The sequence below is a fragment of the Homo sapiens genome, chromosome 2 (genome assembly GCF_000001405.40).
Source record: "Homo sapiens chromosome 2, GRCh38.p14 Primary Assembly".
Classification (NCBI taxonomy): Eukaryota; Metazoa; Chordata; class Mammalia; order Primates; family Hominidae; genus Homo; species Homo sapiens.
Window position 1 is genome coordinate 88,840,553 of NC_000002.12, and position 19,977 is coordinate 88,860,529.

At 41.0% G+C, this 19,977-nt stretch overlaps 1 long non-coding RNA gene, 1 gene segment (V, D, J or C) and 1 further gene, besides 2 other annotated features; 1 reads left to right on the plus strand and 2 right to left on the minus strand.

Moving 5' to 3' along the window:
• Positions 5,013–6,115: an enhancer, noted in NCBI's record as "amplified fragment containing the chr2:89145079-89146178 (GRCh37) CAGE-defined region". NCBI's record gives its function as "transcribed enhancer in B cells {active_cell/tissue: B cell}" and the evidence as "EXISTENCE:reporter gene assay evidence [ECO:0000049][PMID:24670763]".
• Positions 5,459–5,678: an enhancer, noted in NCBI's record as "active region_16177". NCBI's record gives its function as "activates an Ori minimal core promoter by ATAC-STARR-seq in GM12878 lymphoblastoid cells {active_cell/tissue: GM12878}" and the evidence as "EXISTENCE:reporter gene assay evidence [ECO:0000049][PMID:35858748]".
• Positions 13,425–15,052, minus strand: LOC124907856 (uncharacterized). The gene is made up of 2 exons (XR_007087134.1): positions 14,626–15,052; positions 13,425–13,702 (listed from the first exon to the last, which is right to left on the minus strand). It is a non-coding gene; the product is annotated as an uncharacterized LOC124907856 (long non-coding RNA).
• On the minus strand, positions 16,809–17,131 carry IGKC (immunoglobulin kappa constant). The segment is given in 1 exon segment: positions 16,809–17,131. A coding segment is annotated over 1 exon segment (323 nt), but the record flags the coding sequence as incomplete, so codon positions are not given.
• The window catches only part of IGK (immunoglobulin kappa locus), a 1,378,008-nt gene continuing 1,374,839 nt past the window's right edge, over positions 16,809–19,977 (plus strand).

Here is a 19,977-nt window from a genome sequence, read left to right on the forward strand (position 1 = left end):
GAAGCCTGGGGCTCTTTCTTACCCCATGTGCCAACTTCTCAGGGCCTCCTTGTCTAATTTTGCTTGAGAATGTAGAGTAGAGGAAGGAGAAATGGACAGACAGCCTAGAGAAGTGACTTACAGTCTGGGTTCAGCTCTAACTACTAATAGTGTTGAGGACGTCAGTCAGCTTCTCGAAGTCTCAGTCTCCATATTTGTTAAAATAAAGAGGGTAGTCTGGTTTTTCTGGCCCCTTCTCTCCTGTCCTCCTAGACTATGAATTCATTTTTAGCTTTTTAATGCAAATTTTTGATTCATTAGAATCTAGCTTCTTCACTCTGCCACTTTTAGTTGGCTCTTCTTAGAGCATTAGTGCCCAATTTGCACTGTTAGAATTTTCCCTTGTTTGTACCCTTCAAAATTTTTCTTTTTTTGGGCAAGGATTGTATTTTTTTCTTTTTAACTGGCTCCTTGAGGATAGATGTTGTGATATCTGTGTGCTTGTATGTCCTCAACTGTGCCCTGCACTGTTAGGGCCCTTGTCAAAACAACACATTTCTCAGTGATTCTGAGACTCTTTCTCTTATCTATAGAAGTCATAACTCAAGAGTAAAATCATACCAATATTTTACATAAACCCTAGAATTTTTATAGATCTATTATTTCTTTTTAGAGTACATATTGGAAGTAACTTCACAAGGAACATTTTCTTTACTTTTTTTTTTGGAAAAAAGATTTATGCTTATAACCAAATGAGGTTGTTTGGCAAATTTGTCTGGAGAGACACACACACTCAGGGCAAATAGGCACTCCTTTCCTGGGCAACTCAATTACCTCTTGCCTCTGGTCAAACCACTCCACAAATAAAGTGGACTGATCCTCTTGACTCTATGTGTAAGTGCCCATTGTGTGTGCACAGAGCTGGTGAGAACGGCCATGGTGCTAGGTGGGGGTGGTGTTGGTGGAGTTGGACTAGATTATCTGGGATCATGCGAAATGGAAATTCATTTCTAGCTGGCTGGCTTCAGAAGGTGCCATCTCCTATTTTTATATGAAGCGTGCTTTGGAACTCAGGGCAACGAAGGGTGGGTGTGCTGCACAAGGACAGCAGAAGAGTGAGCTGACTGGTCCCTGAAATCGCAGTTGGAAAGTGGATTACCAGTGCAGTAGAACTCTTCACGGAGGCCTGGACCATCAGGTCTAATGGTGTTGTTCCAGGTGGGTGGTCATGTGGAGCAAAAATATTTGAAATCAGCGAGCACGTACCTGAGAGATGACTTTTCCACTTGGGCTAGTCTCTTGATATTTCTGGTCCTGTTTCTTCATCTGTAAACTGGGTTAGTAATGTCACACTCTGTGAGTTGGTGCATCCAGATAACAAACAAACAAACCCACACACAGAAAAACAATCCCCATAAATGCCCTATAAACTTATATTAATCATCAACAATTCATTTATTTGTTCACTCACTTATTTATTCAACAAATACTCGTATGACCAAAGCACTGTGCTTTGTGCTAAGCTCTACAATAAATATAGAATTGTATAAAGATCAAGGAGTAAAAATCCTAGTTCAGGTCCTCAATAAATGATAGGTGAATCATAGACTGAAACGTGGAAGTAAAGTAAGGAGGTCTTCCACGACTATTGTGATCTTCAAATGTTCTTTTGGGTGCAGAGTTTCCCCGGGAAACTGCCAGTTTCTATAATGGACAAAAGACTTTGCTTTTCAGGAGTATATATTTTGATAGGAAATAAAGATAGAAATACTTGGAACTTAGACAAATTAAATACATAAATGATGGATAGTATGTAGGGAATACAGTACTGTGGGGAATCAAAGAGAGGGTGAATTCTGGGTGAAATCAGGAGGGTTTCTCATTATTCACAGATGATCTCTTACAGGAGGTGGGAATTTTTAGGTCAGCTGGAAATGGAACCAGGCTTTCATGTTCAGATATACTTGCAGATAAACAACTCATAAGAATTATAAGACTAACAGCTTCGTTAGTTTACATTTGACAATTTATTTGTGCCTCATTATTTTGGGATGTGTCAAGAATCTGATAACATGGGTGATAATGCTATTTGCCACTGTAATATCAGGTAGTCCTAGTGAAAATGCAACTTTTAAGAACTTGTTTAATTGTATCTACCAACTCTTACTGCAGAATGTAGACTTGAAAGAAGCACATTCCTTTTTCTTACATAATCATTAGGGGTTACTACATTTCTGAGCAACAAGGCTCAAGAGTTTCCAATGGAAATGTAATTTCAATTAGAAAACCAAATTGAGGTTGAGGGTGGAGAGAGCCAGCTGCAGAAGGTATCTGGACAGCAGCATGTATCTGCAGGCCTGCGTGTGTGCCAGGGTGGGGGCAAGGAGGGGTAGATTGTGTCATTTTCCACATATGTTTATTTAGCTTCTCCTGTTTCAGGGACTTTGGGTTTTATTAATAGTCAATTTAGGATATTGTGCCTCCATCCTCAAGCATTGTCAATCTTAAAAGGATGGGTGGGAGTGGTAGGCATTAAGCCTCAGAATCTTCTAGCCCTTTGGCTGGAGTGGTTCTGTCTGCTATTGCTGCAACCTGAGGAAATCTTTCAAATTCTGGGTGGGCTGCTCTGGTTAATATAGTGGAGACTCTAACAAAAATTATGTCATCCAGCAATAGAGCTCTGGTGCAGTGAGTGGCAGACTAACTGATGAACATCTCAATGCACAGCAATTCTCAGCAGCCCTCAGCCAGGGCACTCCTAGGGAGGGCCTCTGGTTACAATGCTCTTCAGAGCCTGCCCAGTCTGTCTCTGTTTCTCTGTCTTTTCTTTCCTTTCTCATTATTCCCATCACTATTATTGTTTCTCTTTCTCTAAGGTCTGTATATTATCCTTTCCCCTAGTTCTTTGAAAAATTTACTTCAGTTGCACACACAATAGAATTAAATGATAAACATCAATTTTCTAAATAAAATGCTGTGTACACCCACACTCACACCCACAGAGTATTTTCTATTTCTTAACAACAACAAGAAAAACAACAAAATGCATAGTAAGAATTAAAAAATCTGGAGGAATATTGAAGGCCAGGGCAGATTATTTGTTTAGATTAGTGATCCTTAACCCAGAATTTCCTCACATCTAGATTATTGTCTGGTGGATGACAAAGGAAAATATATATTGGAAACCCAGTTGTGGATCCTTGAGAATACAGTAGAAAGAACAGTGAAAATTGAAAGGGAAAAGGTGAGAAAACCTTCTTATTCATGTCCAGGAACAGAATTGGGCTTGAATTTGGTGGCTGCAGCTCTGAACGGACTCAAAGTGAGTGTCTGTAAATCCTGCTCAGCAACACGAGGACAGGGGTTGCCATGTCCTCCTCTTCCTTATGTACCTTCCCTCATCTGCCTCCCTATCTCTAGCACATGGACCAGGGGCTCATAAATGTCTGTAGGATGGAAAAATCTAGGAATACATGTGGGGTCAGAAGTTGTAAGAGATTGGGTTGAATATATTCTGATTCCCCAAGTTGTTTTTGTCTACTTATTTTCTTTTTCTTCTCTGTGATGGTTCTTTTTTTCTTGTTATTTGTATCTTTGCACAATGAAAGACAAAAAAAAAATAGTTCTAGTCACTAGAGGACTTCAGTAAACATGCTATCACTTACCTGCTTATGAACCAAGAGGTTGGGAAGGCAGGTCTCAGTTGGCATGTAGCCCGAGAAGAGTTTGTCACATCTTAGAGTCTAGAACCTCCTTTCCCACAGAGATACAAAACACACAGTTAACTCACTGGTATTTTGGCTGGGAAGATAGCTGAATGATAGCACCACTTTAAATCATATAGTGATGACTGCTGCTGATGATGCACATTTCTTTTCAGTATGAAATATTAGTTTTTTGGGAAATCCAATGTTCACCCTAATCTTGCAGCATTTTGTAATTTCCATCATGGCACTGAGCAGGAGGCAGGATGGGCTGAAGGGAAATACACTGAACTGAACTGGATCCTTAGGCCTGTGGGTGAGACACAGTATTGGCAGATAGTGCCTTCACCTTGTGGCTCAGTTTCTTCAGGTTTCAAAATTGAGAGACTTTTTTCACTTTTACATGTTAAGTAGGTAAGGATGAACGGAAGGATTGTGATGTATTGCATATTGGAAGAAACAAAGGTATCAGGTCAAAATTAAGAAGGGTTTATTTGTGGAATTACTGCAGGGAGAATATCCACTGAGCTCAGCCATTGAACTCAAGAACCTGTTAGTAATTAAGAATATGAAAAGATTGTGAATTGAGCACCTTCTCTGCACCATGCCCCGTACAAAGTGGATTATACACAATATTTCATTTGCTGTTCACAGTGATGTTGACATAGAGGTTTATTGTTATTGCTTTATTATAAACAAGTAACCCCAAACAAAGAGGGGATAAAAAAGTGATAGATTCCCATGTGAGAGCTCACTAACCCATGGTATCCCAATCAGAGGGCTAGAGCATTGGAATGACGTGTGAAGACACTGTTGATGTTAGGTAATTCCCAGGTTGGTTAATGTTTGGGCAGGAGGGGTATAACTTCTCTGGCCTCCAATATGTGTTAGGCACCCCTTCTGTGTGCTTACGTAGAGCTCTGTAGGCACTCCTCTCAGCTCCATTTCTCCATGTTGCAATTTCTGGTTATTTGTTTATACACTACTCTAGGAGCTCCTTGAGGTAGAGAGTTCTGTCTTGTTGACTATGTTATCTGCAAATCTTCATAGAGAGCCAGGTACATGGAAATGCTAATACATTTCTATGGAATTAGTGAAGGTGGACATTCATACGTCCAGGCATATGAACAGGTTTTTCTCTGGAGTTGGTGTTGTTTGGTGTAGAAGGGCTGTCAATGAGCCTTATGACTTGAGGAAGGATCAACAGATGGGTGGATAGAAGTACAGATGGTTATATGCATGGATGGAAAGGGAATATGGTAGAAGAGAATGCTTCTGTCATGGGCTCTAGGAAGTTTACTGAAATATATTCTGAAAGGTTGATATGTATAGTTCATCCTTATTCTTCCCAGCCTCTCTTTTCTGAGATGACCAAACTATTCAACATAAATGGTTTCCTGCTGCTCTTAAATATTTCCAGGACACTTCTGGGTCTCCTGAAGCACCTGCTTGCTCACAGCTTCATTCTCACGTGAAGTCTGCATAGGTCCTGTTACCATATCAGAACTCTTAGAGGACACTTATTCTGGGCTGAGGTTTTCCAAGGTGAGAACTCCAGGACTGGAGATGGAGCAGTGCATTTAGGTGAAGTGATATCAAACAAGGTTGGGGTTGGTGTTACTTCCCATCCCAGTGCTGGACACAGCCTTGGCCAGGTCCTGTTGTGACCCCAGGTGCACGGGGCCTTGGGAACTTCTGAAAGGGTGTGGAGTGCTCCACCCAGCCCTGTTGGAGGAGGATGGGAGCGAAAGCAACAGATGTGCTCAAGGTTCTGTTTTCAGTTCCCCAAAGGGTCTTCTCCTTGACCAAAGCAGTGTGACGGTTGCTATGACAGTTGCTATCTTGGTCCCTGGGACTCTCCCTCATAAGGTAGCATTACTTTTTTTAATCTTCTCAGGCAAGTAACCATGAAACTCTGTAATAACCAGTCTGAGGTGGGGCTGGTTGGGGGCATGTTTGGGCCTGAGTACTGGGATGTGATGGTGGAATATGCTGGGGTACCAAGAGGTACCTTTGATTAATGAGTTATTTTTCCAAATTAGACCAACACTCCTCCTAGTTGTCTTAGGCTTGATGACTCTCCATTTCTGCAGAAGTTCAGAATTCTTCCCTTGAGATGTCTGCAATTAGTTCATTGTTGCAAATTATAAAAACATAACAGGTAGAAAGAACACTGACCTTGAATCTCAAATCTGTCTCTACCAGGTCATGTCATTCAGTCTCTGCTTGGGTCTTCTCATGTGTTAAATGAGAGCTTTGATTTCCAAGCTCCTTTTCACTCTGAGAGTCACTGATGTTTTGCCTCTGAAAATGGCAACCATGAAGAGTAGTTACTGAGAAACCAGCACTGTGTTTTAGAGTTAGGGCTCTTGATCAGGCTGCCTCATTTTGAATCCTGATTTGGGAATTTCTGATGATGTGATCTTGGACATGGTATTGACTTTCTCTAAGTCTTAGTTTTTTTTTTTTTTTTTATCTGCAAAAGAGGGTAAAACAAGCTACCCCAGAGGCTGCTGGAAGATTCAGTGACATGTTGCTTGTCAGTGTTGAGACATTGTATCCATTACAACTATCATAGAATAAAAACCTGTTACAAGTTGGCATGGGCCGAGCTGCCAGCAATTTCATACATCTCTTTTATGCCTATTTTGTTTTTCATTTTGATCATCAATATTTTAATGGTGTGTCATAAATTGGGGGCTCTTTCTTATTTGTTCTTGGACCCATGGTGAAATAAAAGCTTGTATATTTTTTTAGAAGGATTCATAGAGATGAAAGGCCCTTACTGAACATTCAGTCTGACCTTATTAGTTTTAAAGGAGCTGACTGAGACCTAACTGTTATTATTACAAACTGATATTATTGGAAACCAACACAGAACCTACCATGTGCAAAACTGTGGGAAAGGCTTGGAAGTCTGGGTTTGACAACCTGAGTTTAAATAGTGATTCTTTGTCTTACTAGCTCCGTAATCCCAAACACGTAATGCAATCTTTCTTAGTCTGTTTCTTCATCTATGAGACAGGGCTAATGAGAAACATCTCAGTGTATGGTATGACAGCAAAGGGGGTCATACAGGTGACAGTGCTAGCAAATGTCAGTCCCCTCCTCTTCTCTACCTCCCAACTCCCTTGACCCTCTCCTCTGTCATCCCTTTTCTGGCTGCGTGCAGAGAATCTTGCTAGCTTTAGGGATACAAAAGGTTCCAGAGTTGGGAGACAGACTGTTCTCATACAGAGATCAATAACCACATGATATGGGTAGTAAGGGCCATTCAGATCCTGAGAAGAGTTTGGCAGGTCAATGGAGGGTGGAAAGGATGAGAGGAACTGGGGAGAGAGACAGAGAAGAGGGAAGGAAAAGGAAGGGAGAAAGGAGGACATTGTGTATCTGAGAACAGGAAAGGAGCAAGTGGAATGGAAGAAGGAGAGGGAAGGCAGCAGGTGAGGGCATGTCTGTTGGGGTGTTTATGGAGGGTTTTTTCAGGGAAAGGGTCTGCAAATGGAGCCAACAAGAAAGGAACTGGCAGGTGGTCAGGATGTCCTCCTGTGAGAGTCACTCTTCTCCCCATCCTCTCTCCTCTTAGCTTCACCCTCGCTAGAACTTTTCCTTGCTCATTTCAATTTTCAAGATTTTCCCAAGCTTCTAAACCTACAAAATCTAAGCGACACACATTTACTGGAGAAATCACAAACAGATCCCAGCCCTCCTGTGGACCTCTCTGCATCTGTGCCCTGGATACCTCTTTCTCCTTTGTTTCTGTGGATGAAACATCTGTGTTCCTAGCTGAGGATGATACCTCTACCTGTCTTCACCCACCCTTCTCACCTACTCAGGAACATTGCTCCAGCAATTTCTCTTCTCTCCTCTTCAGCACCAGCTTTTCCCTTTCTACCAAATCATTCTTATCAGCACTTAAAAATGCTGTCGTTTCTCTCCATTTAAAATAAACCCTCACCTGTGTATCATGTAGAACTATCAATAAGAAAAATATTAAAAAATAAGAAAATAAAGAAAAAAGATAAAATATATCCTCTGTAGAGCCCCTTTGTCCTTCCAGTGACCACCTCATTTCTCTCCTTCCCTCTTCTAATTCTCTCCTTGAAAGCATTGTCCATGCATGCTCTCTCCAATTTCTTCGCTCTCATTCTCTTTTGAACCCATTTGGATCAGACTTTTGCCCCTGGCATTCTATAGAAACTGCACTTGTCTAGTTCACCAGTGATTCCCAATATGGCTAAATCCAATGGCCCATTTCCATTCCTAATCTTGGTTGACTTGTCATCAGCAATTGACACAGTTGATCCATTTTTTCCTCTTTGTAACATTTTTCCTCTTGGATCCTAGGATAACAACACTGTCCTGTTTTTTTCATCTCCTTCTCTAGCCAGTCTATTTCAATCTTCTTTTCTGGTTCCTCCTCATCTTGCTGACTTCTTTACGTTGGAGTGCCTCCTGGCTCAGTGCTTGGATTTCTTTTTTGGTATGTCGTTGCTAGGTACTCTCTCCCAGTCTGATGGCTTTTTACACCATGTGTGTGGTGATGACATCACGTTTGTGTCTCCAGCACTGACCTCTTGCTTCTGAATTCTAGACTCTTATAGCCAGTTGTCCATCTGACATCTCCACTTTGTTGTCTAATAGACATCTCAGACTCAACGTACCCAAAACAGAGCTCCTAAAGCTTCAGGAATCGAGACTGTGTCTATTGACATAAGGATAATAAAATTGATTAGGGGAATTAAATAAAATAGAAATAGACCAAACTTACATTGTCATTTGATTTCCAACAAAAGCACCAAAGCAATCTAATGGGAAAGAAAAGTCTTTACACGAATAGTGCTGGAATTTTCAGCAGCTCATGAAATGTATATATATTTTATGAAAAAAAGTAAAAATAAAAGTAAAAAATGGTGCTGGAACAGCTGCACATCCACATGGAAAAAATGAACCTTGACCCTTACCTCATGCTATACACAAAAATTAATTCCAGGTGAATTAAAGTTGAGCTCCCAAACCTATGCCTATGTTCTATAGACTTCTTCATTTCAGTTAAGGCAACTCTATCCTTCCAATTCATCAGGCTGAAAACCCTGGATTCCCCCTTCAGTTTTCTCTCTTCCCCACATCAACACTAGCAGTGCTTCCTGGCAGGGCTACTTTCAAAGTAGCTTCATCTCCTGCTTGGATTATGTAACAGGCTCCCAACTGGGGTTTCCACACATCTTCCTATCCCACCCTGGATGGGTTATTCTCATCAGATCACCCAGAGAAATCCTGTTTATGTATGTCAGATGATATTATTATTATTTTTATTATTTTTGAGACAGGGTCTCACTCTGTCTCTCAGGCTGCAGTACAGTAGCACGATCACAGCTTACTGCAGCCTCCACCTCCCTGGGCTCCCTACCTCAGCCTCCCAAGTAGCTAGGACTACAGGCACACACCACCACGCCTGGCTAATTGTTTGTATAATATTTTTTGTAGAGACAGGGTTTCCCCATGTTGCCTAGTCTGGTCTCAAACTCCACCCACCTCAGCCTCCCTAAGTGCTGGGATTACTGGCGTGAGCCACCGTCTCCGGCCTCAATATTATTATTTTGCTCAAAGCCTACCAGCCTCATCTCACTTAAAAGAAATGCTTCCTGTGACCCACAAAACCCGACATGACCTGCCCTCCCTATAACCCTGTGTCATGAGCACTCCGGGCACATGCCCACCTCAGGGCTTTTTATTTGCAGTTCCTGCTGTGCTCTTACCTATTTATCCACATGGTTTACTTCCCACTTCATTTAAATCTTTACCTGAATGCTACCTTCTTAGTGACACCTTTCCTGATGACCCTGTCAAAACTTATAACCCTCCTCCAACAATTCCTGCCCTTGCTTTAATGCTCTGTTTACCCCGTCGTTATCTAAAATACTATATTTTAAAATTTATCAATCTTTATCATTTATCTCCCCAGCTAGACTATAAGCTTCACAAAGGCAGGGAGTTTTACCTGTGTGATAGCCTCAGGATCAAAGACAGTACCTGGCACATTTCAGGCATTCAATACATACTTACTGAATGAAAGAATAAAGTGTGGCCAGGCGCGGTGGCTCACACCTGTAATCCCAGCACTTTGGGAGACTGAGGTGGGTGGATCATCTGTGGTCAGGAGTTTGAGGCCAGCCTGACGAACATGGTGAAACCCTGTCTCCACTAAAAATACAAAATTAACCGGGCATAGTGGCACATGCTTGTAATCCCAGCTACTCAGGAGGCTGAGGCAGGAGAATCACTTGAACCTGGGAGGCAGAGGTTGCAGTGAGCTGAGATTGCACCATTGCACTCCAGCGTGGACAACAAGAGCAAAACTCCATCTCAAAAAAAAAAAAAAAAAAGACTAAATTGTGATTGAGGTTTACAGATGACTGGTCAGTGTTTCCCATATCCCCAAACTGTTTTCCTGCTTGATGCTATTATTTCATGGGGCAAGTTCAATTTCCTTATCCATTGCTTGACTGTCCAATTAGATTGGCAGAGCGTTAATGGCAAGGACTGTGTATCTTATCTTGTACTGTTCTATATCCTCCACTATTGCTGCCATTGTGAGGGGGAACAAGGGAGTGGCTTCCCTCCATCCAGTTCCCTACATCATATGTCATATCATACAAATATATTAGTATTTATAAATATATTAGGTCTACCTCCTTCTCTGTGCAAAATATGTCATATCAATGTCTGAGTTCTAGTATGTTCATATTCTTGGGCAATTATGTAATTATGGCTTATGTTGTCATAACTTCTATGCCCGTATTTATAAGAAAAAAATATTGAGAGCATTTCCAGGAAAATAATTGACTGGAAGAAGAGAGAGTGGTAAAAAGGAATTAATAGTGAGCTAACTATCAGTATATACAAGCCCAGCCTTCTAGGATCTGGATAACCCGAAGCAAGAATTTCTCTGTCAGTTTTCTCATCTGTATAATGGTGAGAGTGGGGGTGTTGAAGTAGAAAAATCCTTTGATTAATATTTATTCTAATCCTTGACTAGGTGCTCAGTGTTAGTCCAGGGAACTCTATCTTATTTCTTCATGGGCCAGCTTAATGTCAAGATCCAAAACTCTTGTGTAAAGCTTGGGACCATTTTCAAGGATACATTTAGTAGTTTACAATAATCTAGATAACACTGACTGATAGAAATATGCAGGAAATACAGAAAATTATAATGTGATCCACATATATAATTTAGAAGTTTTCACTAGCCATGTTATAAAAGTAAAAAGAAATCTGTGCAATCAATTTTAATAATATTTTTGTTTGCACACAAGATATACAGGGTAATCTCAACATGTAATCATATAAAATATTAATATTTTACACGTATTTTTTGTACAAAATGTTAAAAATTGGATGTGTTTTTACACGTATAGCCCATCTTAGTATGGACTGGCCTTATCTCCAGAGCTCAATAACTCTGTGTGGCTAGTGGCAGGATATTGGATATCAAGTCTAGAACATACGTGAATTAATTCAAGGTTCAAGCACATTAAGGCTGAAAGAGTTATGACTGAAGAACAAGTTCAAGGAGGAAATCAAACAATAGCCAAATTTCACTGAGCTACTCCTTCCATTACTAATGATAACAAATATTTATAGATCCCTTAGTATATACTAGGCCTGATGCTTAGAACTTTATATGAACTGTTTCATTTAATCCTCACAGCAATCTTACAAGTAAGACCTCCACCCCCTTTCAGATGAGAAAACTGAAGCACAAAAGTGCAGTAACTTGCTATTATGACTTGTGAGCATATTTTCCCAGGCAATTATATGCACAGTATGATGTAGGTAAAGCAGCCCAATAATTTATTCACTATATTTCTCCATGCTCATGGTAAGGACTGACTTGATCCCTGGTGGTCACCCACTTGTGCTCCCTCAGTGAGGGAAGGGCTGCAGAGCCCCTGGCCCGTGTCCTAGTGACTCAGGCTTGGGATCTCCAGCAGCTGCTATGGTTGACAATTTAGTTTAGTAAAATGTTAGATCCTACCCTGATAACTGTTATAAAAAATCCTCCTTCCCCTTCCCCAGCACAGGTACCCAGCCCAAGGGGCACTTTCTATGGAAAGATGAAAAGAACTGACATGGACTTGAGCTCACTGGGGGTGCAGGTTTCAAGAAAGAACAAAGAGAGCTGTTAGGTTGAAGAGACGCAGTTGAAGAGTTAAGTCTTGGAATTGTTAATACCTGGAACAAGGCACGGTGTGAAAAGACAAAGAAACACACAAACATCAATCTGTCCTCCTCTTTTCTCTTTCTGTTTCATTTCTTATCCTCCATCAGTCAGACTTTGCTTCCTCTTTCTCCTCCTTCACCTCCTCCTCCCTGCCCTTCCCAATTTCTTTCTATCTTCCATTTATTGTTCTTCCAAAATTCGTATACTCATCCTCTCTTCTCCCTTTCTCTTTTCTCCAAAATAATATGTTCAACTTACTGACTTGCTCAGGGACTTGTGGGGGCGAATGTATTAGCACCAAACCTAGGAAACATGGCGAATTCTAAAAACTTGTTCTCATAGAAAAAAGAGTTAAAAATAGAAAGCTACAGTCCAGTTTTGAAGCCACAGAAGACCTCACTCTGATGTATAGACATTAGAGTCAGAAAAAGACTTTGAAAAGACCAGTGAAGCTCCTTGTCCCACAGACAGTGTGAGGGAGGGACAAGGGGAATTGTGTGCCCAAGCGTACTTGGGATGGTGTAGGTGGCTGATAAGAGTGTCAGTGGAGGTGGTGGTTAGCATTTGGAGTGCCCCAATCTTGTGACACTAAACATTTATTGTTATACTAACCCCACTGCCAACTACCAGGAAGTTTTCATTTTTCTTACTGTGTCTTAGTCTCCATGGCATCTATAAACTGTTTTCCCCCAATGTCCAGGCATCATTCCTCTCCCACAGTTGATGTCTGGCTCTGTGCCATGGGTGTGGGCCTGCCTCTTCTCTCTCAGAATGACTGCTGTTTCATGCTTGGTGAGCCACGCAGTATGCCAAGCTGCTGTCTCTGACCTGGAGAAAGGATACCCATCCTACCACAGGTGGGGCATATCATGGGATGGCCTTCCTGGTTTTCCTTGGCAGACACATTTTTCTCACTTTTTTTTTTCTCTCCTCCCTTCTCTTTTTCCCTCCCTCTTTGATTTCTTCTCTTTTCCTTTTCTTTCTCTTGCCTCACTTCTGCCCTAGATCTACCATGGGACCCAGGGAGCTTTGGAGCCATGCAACCCACAGTGTGCTAAGCTTTTTACTCATGCTATTTCTTTTAATCTTCACAATTCTTTACCTATCAGGCATTACCATCAGATCTGCACCTTACAGGTGAGAAAGGGAGGCCCACACCGATTAAGAAATGTGCTCAGGGCCACACAGCCTGTACATGTCAGAGTAAGGGCATTCTCATGCCAAGGTTCATTTTCAGAGCCAAAAGCATACCACGTCTCAGGAGAAGCAGGCTAGATCTCTTGTCTGCTTGGCTTTTAACTCATGCTGACCTGAACTTTCTGGATTTGAGTAACTCTCAGACCTGTGGAGCCCGATTTCTGTGAGTGGATTTTGCCAGCCACCTGGGGAGGTGAACCCTTGCTGGGGTATGGCTCATTAGTGTAGAAGGGAGTTCCTTCAGAGGTACGCTGTCTTCTCGGCCATCCCCATTGTAGTAGTTTCTTGGGTCTGCCCTAACAAAGTACCACAAACTAAGAGCCGTAAAACAACAGAAGTTTATTCTGTCATAGGTCTGGAGACAGAAATCTGAATTCAAGGCACAGGCAGAGTTAGTGTCTTCTGCAGGTTCTCGGGGAGAAACCATCCCACACCTCTCCAGCTTCTGGTGGCTCCCAGCAATCCTTGGTGCTCTTTGGCTCTCAGCTGCATCCCTCTGGTCTCTGCCTCCTTGGTCATGTGGCTTTCTTCCTATGTGTCACTGCATCTCCAATCTCCTTCTTCTTATAAGGACACCAGTCATTGGATTTAGGGCCCACTCGGATCCAGCATAAAAAAAAAGTTTAAAAAAATTATTTGGAAATAATTATAGATTCACAGAAAGTAGCAAAGACAGGATATAAAGCACAGAGGTCTGATGTGTCCTGCACCCAGTTTCTCCTGTTGGTTACTTCTTACGTAATTACAGTACGATATTAAAACCAAGAATTTGACATTGATAAAATAAGTGTGTACAGTTCTATGTCATTTTATCACATGTCTAGATGCCTGCAACTACCACTGCAATCAAGATACAGATTTATCCCATGATCACAAAGATCTCCCTTTATAGTTTCGCCTACTCTTCTTTCCCCACCACCCTAACCCCTGGCAACCAGAATCTGTTCTCTATCCCTATAATTTTGTCACTTCAACAATGTTACATAAAAGGAATCACATGGTATGTGACCCTTTCAGATTGGCTTTTTTCACTCAGTAGAAAGTCCTTCAGAATCACTCCAGTTCTCTGTATCAACACTTCGTTCCTTTTTATTGCCTCATAGCATTCTATGGCATGGATATATTACAATTTGTTAGGCTAGTTGCCTATTGAGGGATGGGTTGGCTCTTTCTAGCTTTGGCTACAACAAATAAAGCTGCTGTGAACAATCATGTATGGGTTCTGTGTGGACATAAGTTTTTATTTCCTGGGGGTAAATTCCCAAGGAGTACAATTCCTGGGTCATATGGTAGGTGTCTTTTGTTTAGTTTTTCAAGAAACTGACAACTATTTTCTAGAGTAGCTATACCCTTTTATATTCCCACCAGCAATATATGAATGATCCATTTTCACCGCATCCTCACAAACATTTCAGTATGACCTAATTTTGACTTGATTACCTCTGCAAAGACCCTATTTCCAAATAAAGTCACATTTATGTGACCCATTTATGAGTACCAAGAGCAAGGAGTTGAGCATACCTTTTTGAAGGACACAATTCCACCTGCAGCACCTGTCTTCACTTGCTTAGGTTATGGGTGGGTTTCCCTTCAGAGTGTTATCTTCTGAGAAGAAGGTTTGAATTCATAGCTGGATTATGCCTGCCTTTGATTGTTCAATTTGGCCCCCAGGGATGAGTGAGCAAGTTCATGTCATTGGAAGGGACATTACTGAGTCTCACCCCTACTCAAACCTCCAAAGTTTGAAAGATTTGATACTCATCAACATTCTCAAGAGGCAGAAGGGCAAGGTGCTTCCTTATGTAGTTTCTCCATGACTGTCCTTCCCCACTTTCCCAGTACTGACTGGAAAGAAAAACAAAGCAGGACAAAGGGATTGTCAGTCATTTGAGGGAAGGGATGCTGTGTTAGTTACTCCTGAACCCCTTCAGAGTGTAGGCAGAGAGAGGTACTTAGAAAGGTGTGTTGGATGGATGAGTAGCTGAGAGGGGCAGGGCCAGAGTGCCCCATAGAATGAGGAAGAGTCCTCATTTACATGTGCCCTTCCCCCTTCCCAAACATGTGAGTGTTCATACATGGGTTTCCAGTGTCTGGGCAAGGTTAATTCTGTCCTCTGTCCCCTTGCTGAAGGTCTGTTTCATTTAATTTCTATGTATGTGTGCTCCTAGCTAGCCAAACAGGGCACAGATGCCAGGAAAATAGCAGGCCTGTTGTTTTGTTGAGCACCTTGAGCCCTGGAAGGCAGACTCATTCAGGGCTCAAGAGGGCAGGATTAGGCAGGTAGCTATTTGATCCCAGGCCCCCCCACTTACCAGCTGCGTGGTCTTGACCTATTACTTATTCCTCTTCTATCTATTAACTGGGTATAAGATGTTCTTTATGTGAAGTTATTTTGAAGCATAATGTGTATACAGAACAGTGCACAGATCATAACTGCACAACCCCACACGAGGAACAGAACATTACCAAGACCCCAGAAGCCCCTTCTTGTCTTCTCCCAGGCACTAACTCGCCCACCCCCAGCTAAGAGTAATTTCCATCCAAATTTCTAACTTTATTTTTACCTGGTTTTGAACTTTATATGGATGAAAACATACAGAACATATCTTTTGCATTGAGTTTCTCTTATGTAACATTATTTTTATGAGATTCATCTGTGTGAGTAGGTATAGTTGTAGCTTGTTAATTCTCCTCATTGGGTATTCTAATGTATAAACATACCACAGTTTAATAACTCATTCTATTGTTGGACAATCGGGCTATTTCCAATTTTTGGCTTTTGTAAATAAAGCTGCTTTGAACATTCTTGCATAGTTTTTTGGTGGGTGGGGACACTCAGTCATCTAGAAGTGGGATTGCTGAGTTATAGAATATATTTGTCTCTCAGCTTTATAGAACCTTTGCAACATTTTAATGAATGTTTTTAATCTCACAGTATAGTGTGGATTAAATTAGGTTGTGGAAAGTACTCAATACGGCCCTTGGCAGACAGGAGTCCCTCAGTACCTGTTTAAAAATGTAAATAAGGCATGACATTCCATTAAGTCTAAGTACCATGATGAACTTAAACATTTCCCTATTGTTTGTTTATTTAATTGCTTTTATTGTGTTGTTATTTTATATCATGTTGCAATGAATGATTCTCTTTATAGCAGGTTTCTTCTTTTGAAAAATTTGCTTTGGTTGATTCTCAGGGAATTGAATCAAAGGATATATGACTGTAAGACCTGTCACCCTTAAAAAGGACTATGAGGGCTTGCTGAGGAGGGGAAAACAAGGAAGCAAGTCTCTCCTACCATGGCCCAGGGGACTGTGAGGACAGAAGGCTTGTGGGTTTGAGGGAGGACTGTCTTGCAGAGGATGATAGGGTAAAATAGAATGAAGGATGATTTTTATAAATGGTTATGCGCCTTAGGATGACTACATATTTAGTCCCTTATAAGAGAAATTGAGTAGTTGGTAAAACAACAGATAATAATTATTAAATGAGGAAAGAGAGAAACCACAGGTGCAAAGATTCACTTTATTTATTCATTCTCCTCCAACATTAGCATAATTAAAGCCAAGGAGGAGGAGGGGGGTGAGGTGAAAGATGAGCTGGAGGACCGCAATAGGGGTAGGTCCCCTGTGGAAAAAGGGTCAGAGGCCAAAGGATGGGAGGGGGTCAGGCTGGAACTGAGGAGCAGGTGGGGGCACTTCTCCCTCTAACACTCTCCCCTGTTGAAGCTCTTTGTGACGGGCGAGCTCAGGCCCTGATGGGTGACTTCGCAGGCGTAGACTTTGTGTTTCTCGTAGTCTGCTTTGCTCAGCGTCAGGGTGCTGCTGAGGCTGTAGGTGCTGTCCTTGCTGTCCTGCTCTGTGACACTCTCCTGGGAGTTACCCGATTGGAGGGCGTTATCCACCTTCCACTGTACTTTGGCCTCTCTGGGATAGAAGTTATTCAGCAGGCACACAACAGAGGCAGTTCCAGATTTCAACTGCTCATCAGATGGCGGGAAGATGAAGACAGATGGTGCAGCCACAGTTCCTGAGGAAAGAAGCAAACAGGATGGTGTTTAAGTAACAAAGTTCTGCCCTTGGGTGTGTTGTTTGCGGATAATCACAGGGCATGTTAGGGACAGACAGAAAACAGCATGCTTATCCCAGATAATTATAGCAAGGAGACCAAGAAGCGTATTTAAAATCTTGATGTTTTGAGTTTCTTCCTAGCTTCCCCCTATTCCTTAATAAAGTTCTAAATTGTTTTGTTGGAGCTCTTTGCAGCCATTCTGAGGGCTTTGCATGCTTTTCTGACCTTGCAGTAAACTCAATGCTTTAGGCAAAGAATGGCCACGTCATCCGACCCCCTCAGAGTTTAGAATTCAGAACAGGTCTGAAGAAGACCAGGCAGCGGCTGAGTCAAGGAAAGCCTCCGTCCGCTTTTATTTCCCCTGTGCCTCTTCCAGGACTGTGCTGGGATAACAGGCTCCCGGGGGTTACTTTGGCTGGGCTGGGCTAAAACCTCCCTGCAGAGCAGGCCCTGAGCCCTGCCTCTGCGCCTGGGTGGTGTCAGCCCCTCCACCTTCTGACTGTTCCAGCAACTCTCTAAGCCCTCCCAAAGGCCTCAAGGCCTGTAACCATATGCAGCAATTTTCAGCCATACCAGGAGAGGTCAACTGTAATCTTGGCCACCTGCCTAAGAGGAAGTGGCTAGCTTCACTTCTGACCCTCAGCAACTGCCAGGTGGCCTCTTGGAAATCCCCCTCTGGGGGATTCCACCCGTTGGGTGGGAGAGCAGTAGTTAAAATGTAAAATAAGAATCTTTTGCTGGGAGAAGTCAACAGATAGGGAGAAGTCAGCTGATAACAGAAATAGTTTTTTTTTTTTTTAAAACTAACTTCACTGTTAACCAAGCAGTTCAACATGAAAGACTGAATCTCTTATGTTTAATATTTTCTTCTCTTTTAATCTTCATAACTAATTTTTTTCAGATAATTGTATAAAATAACCATGGTAGCAAAATAATGTGATCACTGGAAAATAAGCAGGGAAAAACATGCTATGAAGATACTCCTATCTGGGTGAATTCTTGATAGCTTTACATTTTTCATCTGGCATTTAAACATTAAACAGTTAATGTATTTGACATGAAAATTATTTCAAGTTATCTTATTAGTTTTAATAGAGTTTAAAAAGTGTTTAAAAGAGTTTTCAAAAGGCTCTAAAATCATTTTGAAATAGTTTAAAACAGTTTTGAATCGTTGTAAGTTAGTTTTAATAGAGCTTTAAAAAGGCCCTAAAATAGTCCTATCAAGTTGTTGCAGACCAAAATAATCTCCTTAAATATCACTTTTGAGATCAGCTGGGGTAAACGACAGCAACACAATGACAAATCATTAAACTATTTTAGAGATTATGAAATTAAAATACTCAGATTAAAATTTTCCTATCACAGAATTAAGGTACTGGAAAATATGTTTAAGTTTTTATTAATCACATTGCTATAGGTTTAGATATTTTGTACAACTGAAATAAAATCACACACTGGCAGCTACATTTTTGAAAGTTAAAAACATGGTCACGAATATATCTTATTTTAAAATCAGTTAATATACCTTAATGGTATTTAATGCCAAATTCAAAGTGAATTGATCAAGCCCTCAGTGGCCAGGTCATGGGTGTGATTTTTACTCTGAAAGAATTACATATTTCTTTCTTTTTGGTTGAGCTTTTGTTATTTAAATACATTTGATGAGAGGATATTGAAATAATTAAATAGCACTGAAAAAAAAAAAAGCTTTAAATTATTTACAATCCCCTAATGGAAATTTTCACTAATGAGATATCATAATGAATGTGAATTTTATTTCTGAAATCTCTAATAAATCAGTCTTCTCCCTGGTTTTCCCAGCTCAGCGCCCATTACGTTTCTGTTCTCTTTCCCTTAGTGGCATTATTTGTATCACTGTGCATCAGGAAAGCTGGCTACGGCAGCATCAATCGGGCAGACACAGGGTGGCCACGGCCACTAGCGGCAAGGCGGCTGCCCCAAGAGCGCGGTGGCATGGCCACCAAAGCCACTCAATCGAGAAAGACCGCGGCTCTGTCTACAGCTCGCGGTGCCACGGCCTTCTTGGCAGAATAAAAATGTAGACAAGTAATAACAGAGGATAATGAAAGAACATACTCTTTAAAATATTTCCTATTTTTTTCACAGACCCACGGTCATTAAAAAATGCAATTATTTACTTTTTTTCATTTAAACACATTTCTTTGAGATTGAGCTTTTGGGAATAACCACCTTTCCACCATTACAATAAGAGATAATTTCACGTTTAGTCTAATGTACAAATTGGATTTTTAAAAAATGAGCTCTATCTGTGAAGCCCTTATTCCTATAGAATGTGTCTTTTTGAGTTTATTACTTATTACAGACTCTAAAAACAACATTGCTGCTGATTTTCAAGTAAGCTGCCTCTTCTACATAGCAAATAGGTACACTTCACTTTTCCCTGATTTTTCTTAGGGCGTGCTATTGATTTTTATTGTTGTCTGACAAAATAATTTATCAAACAAAAGGGAGAAAGACTAAAAAATGTATTTTTCCACTTTTCTGTATCATGCATAATCAGCAACAACCAATACAATATTTGGCAAGAGTGAACAAAAATAAATTTACTTTTGCTCCTTAGAAATACAAGGGTTCCTTTTTAGTTACACTTTTTTTTTTTACTTTGTGTCATTCAGTTTAGAGCAATTTAATCTTTTTTTCTCCAAATCCATTTTTGAAGCTGAGTTTAACTTTTGCAACCCATGGCAAATCTTAAATGCCCTCATTTACCAATCTTTACCAAACTCCTATTTAAGCCTCTAAAAGTCAATACTGGCCATCAG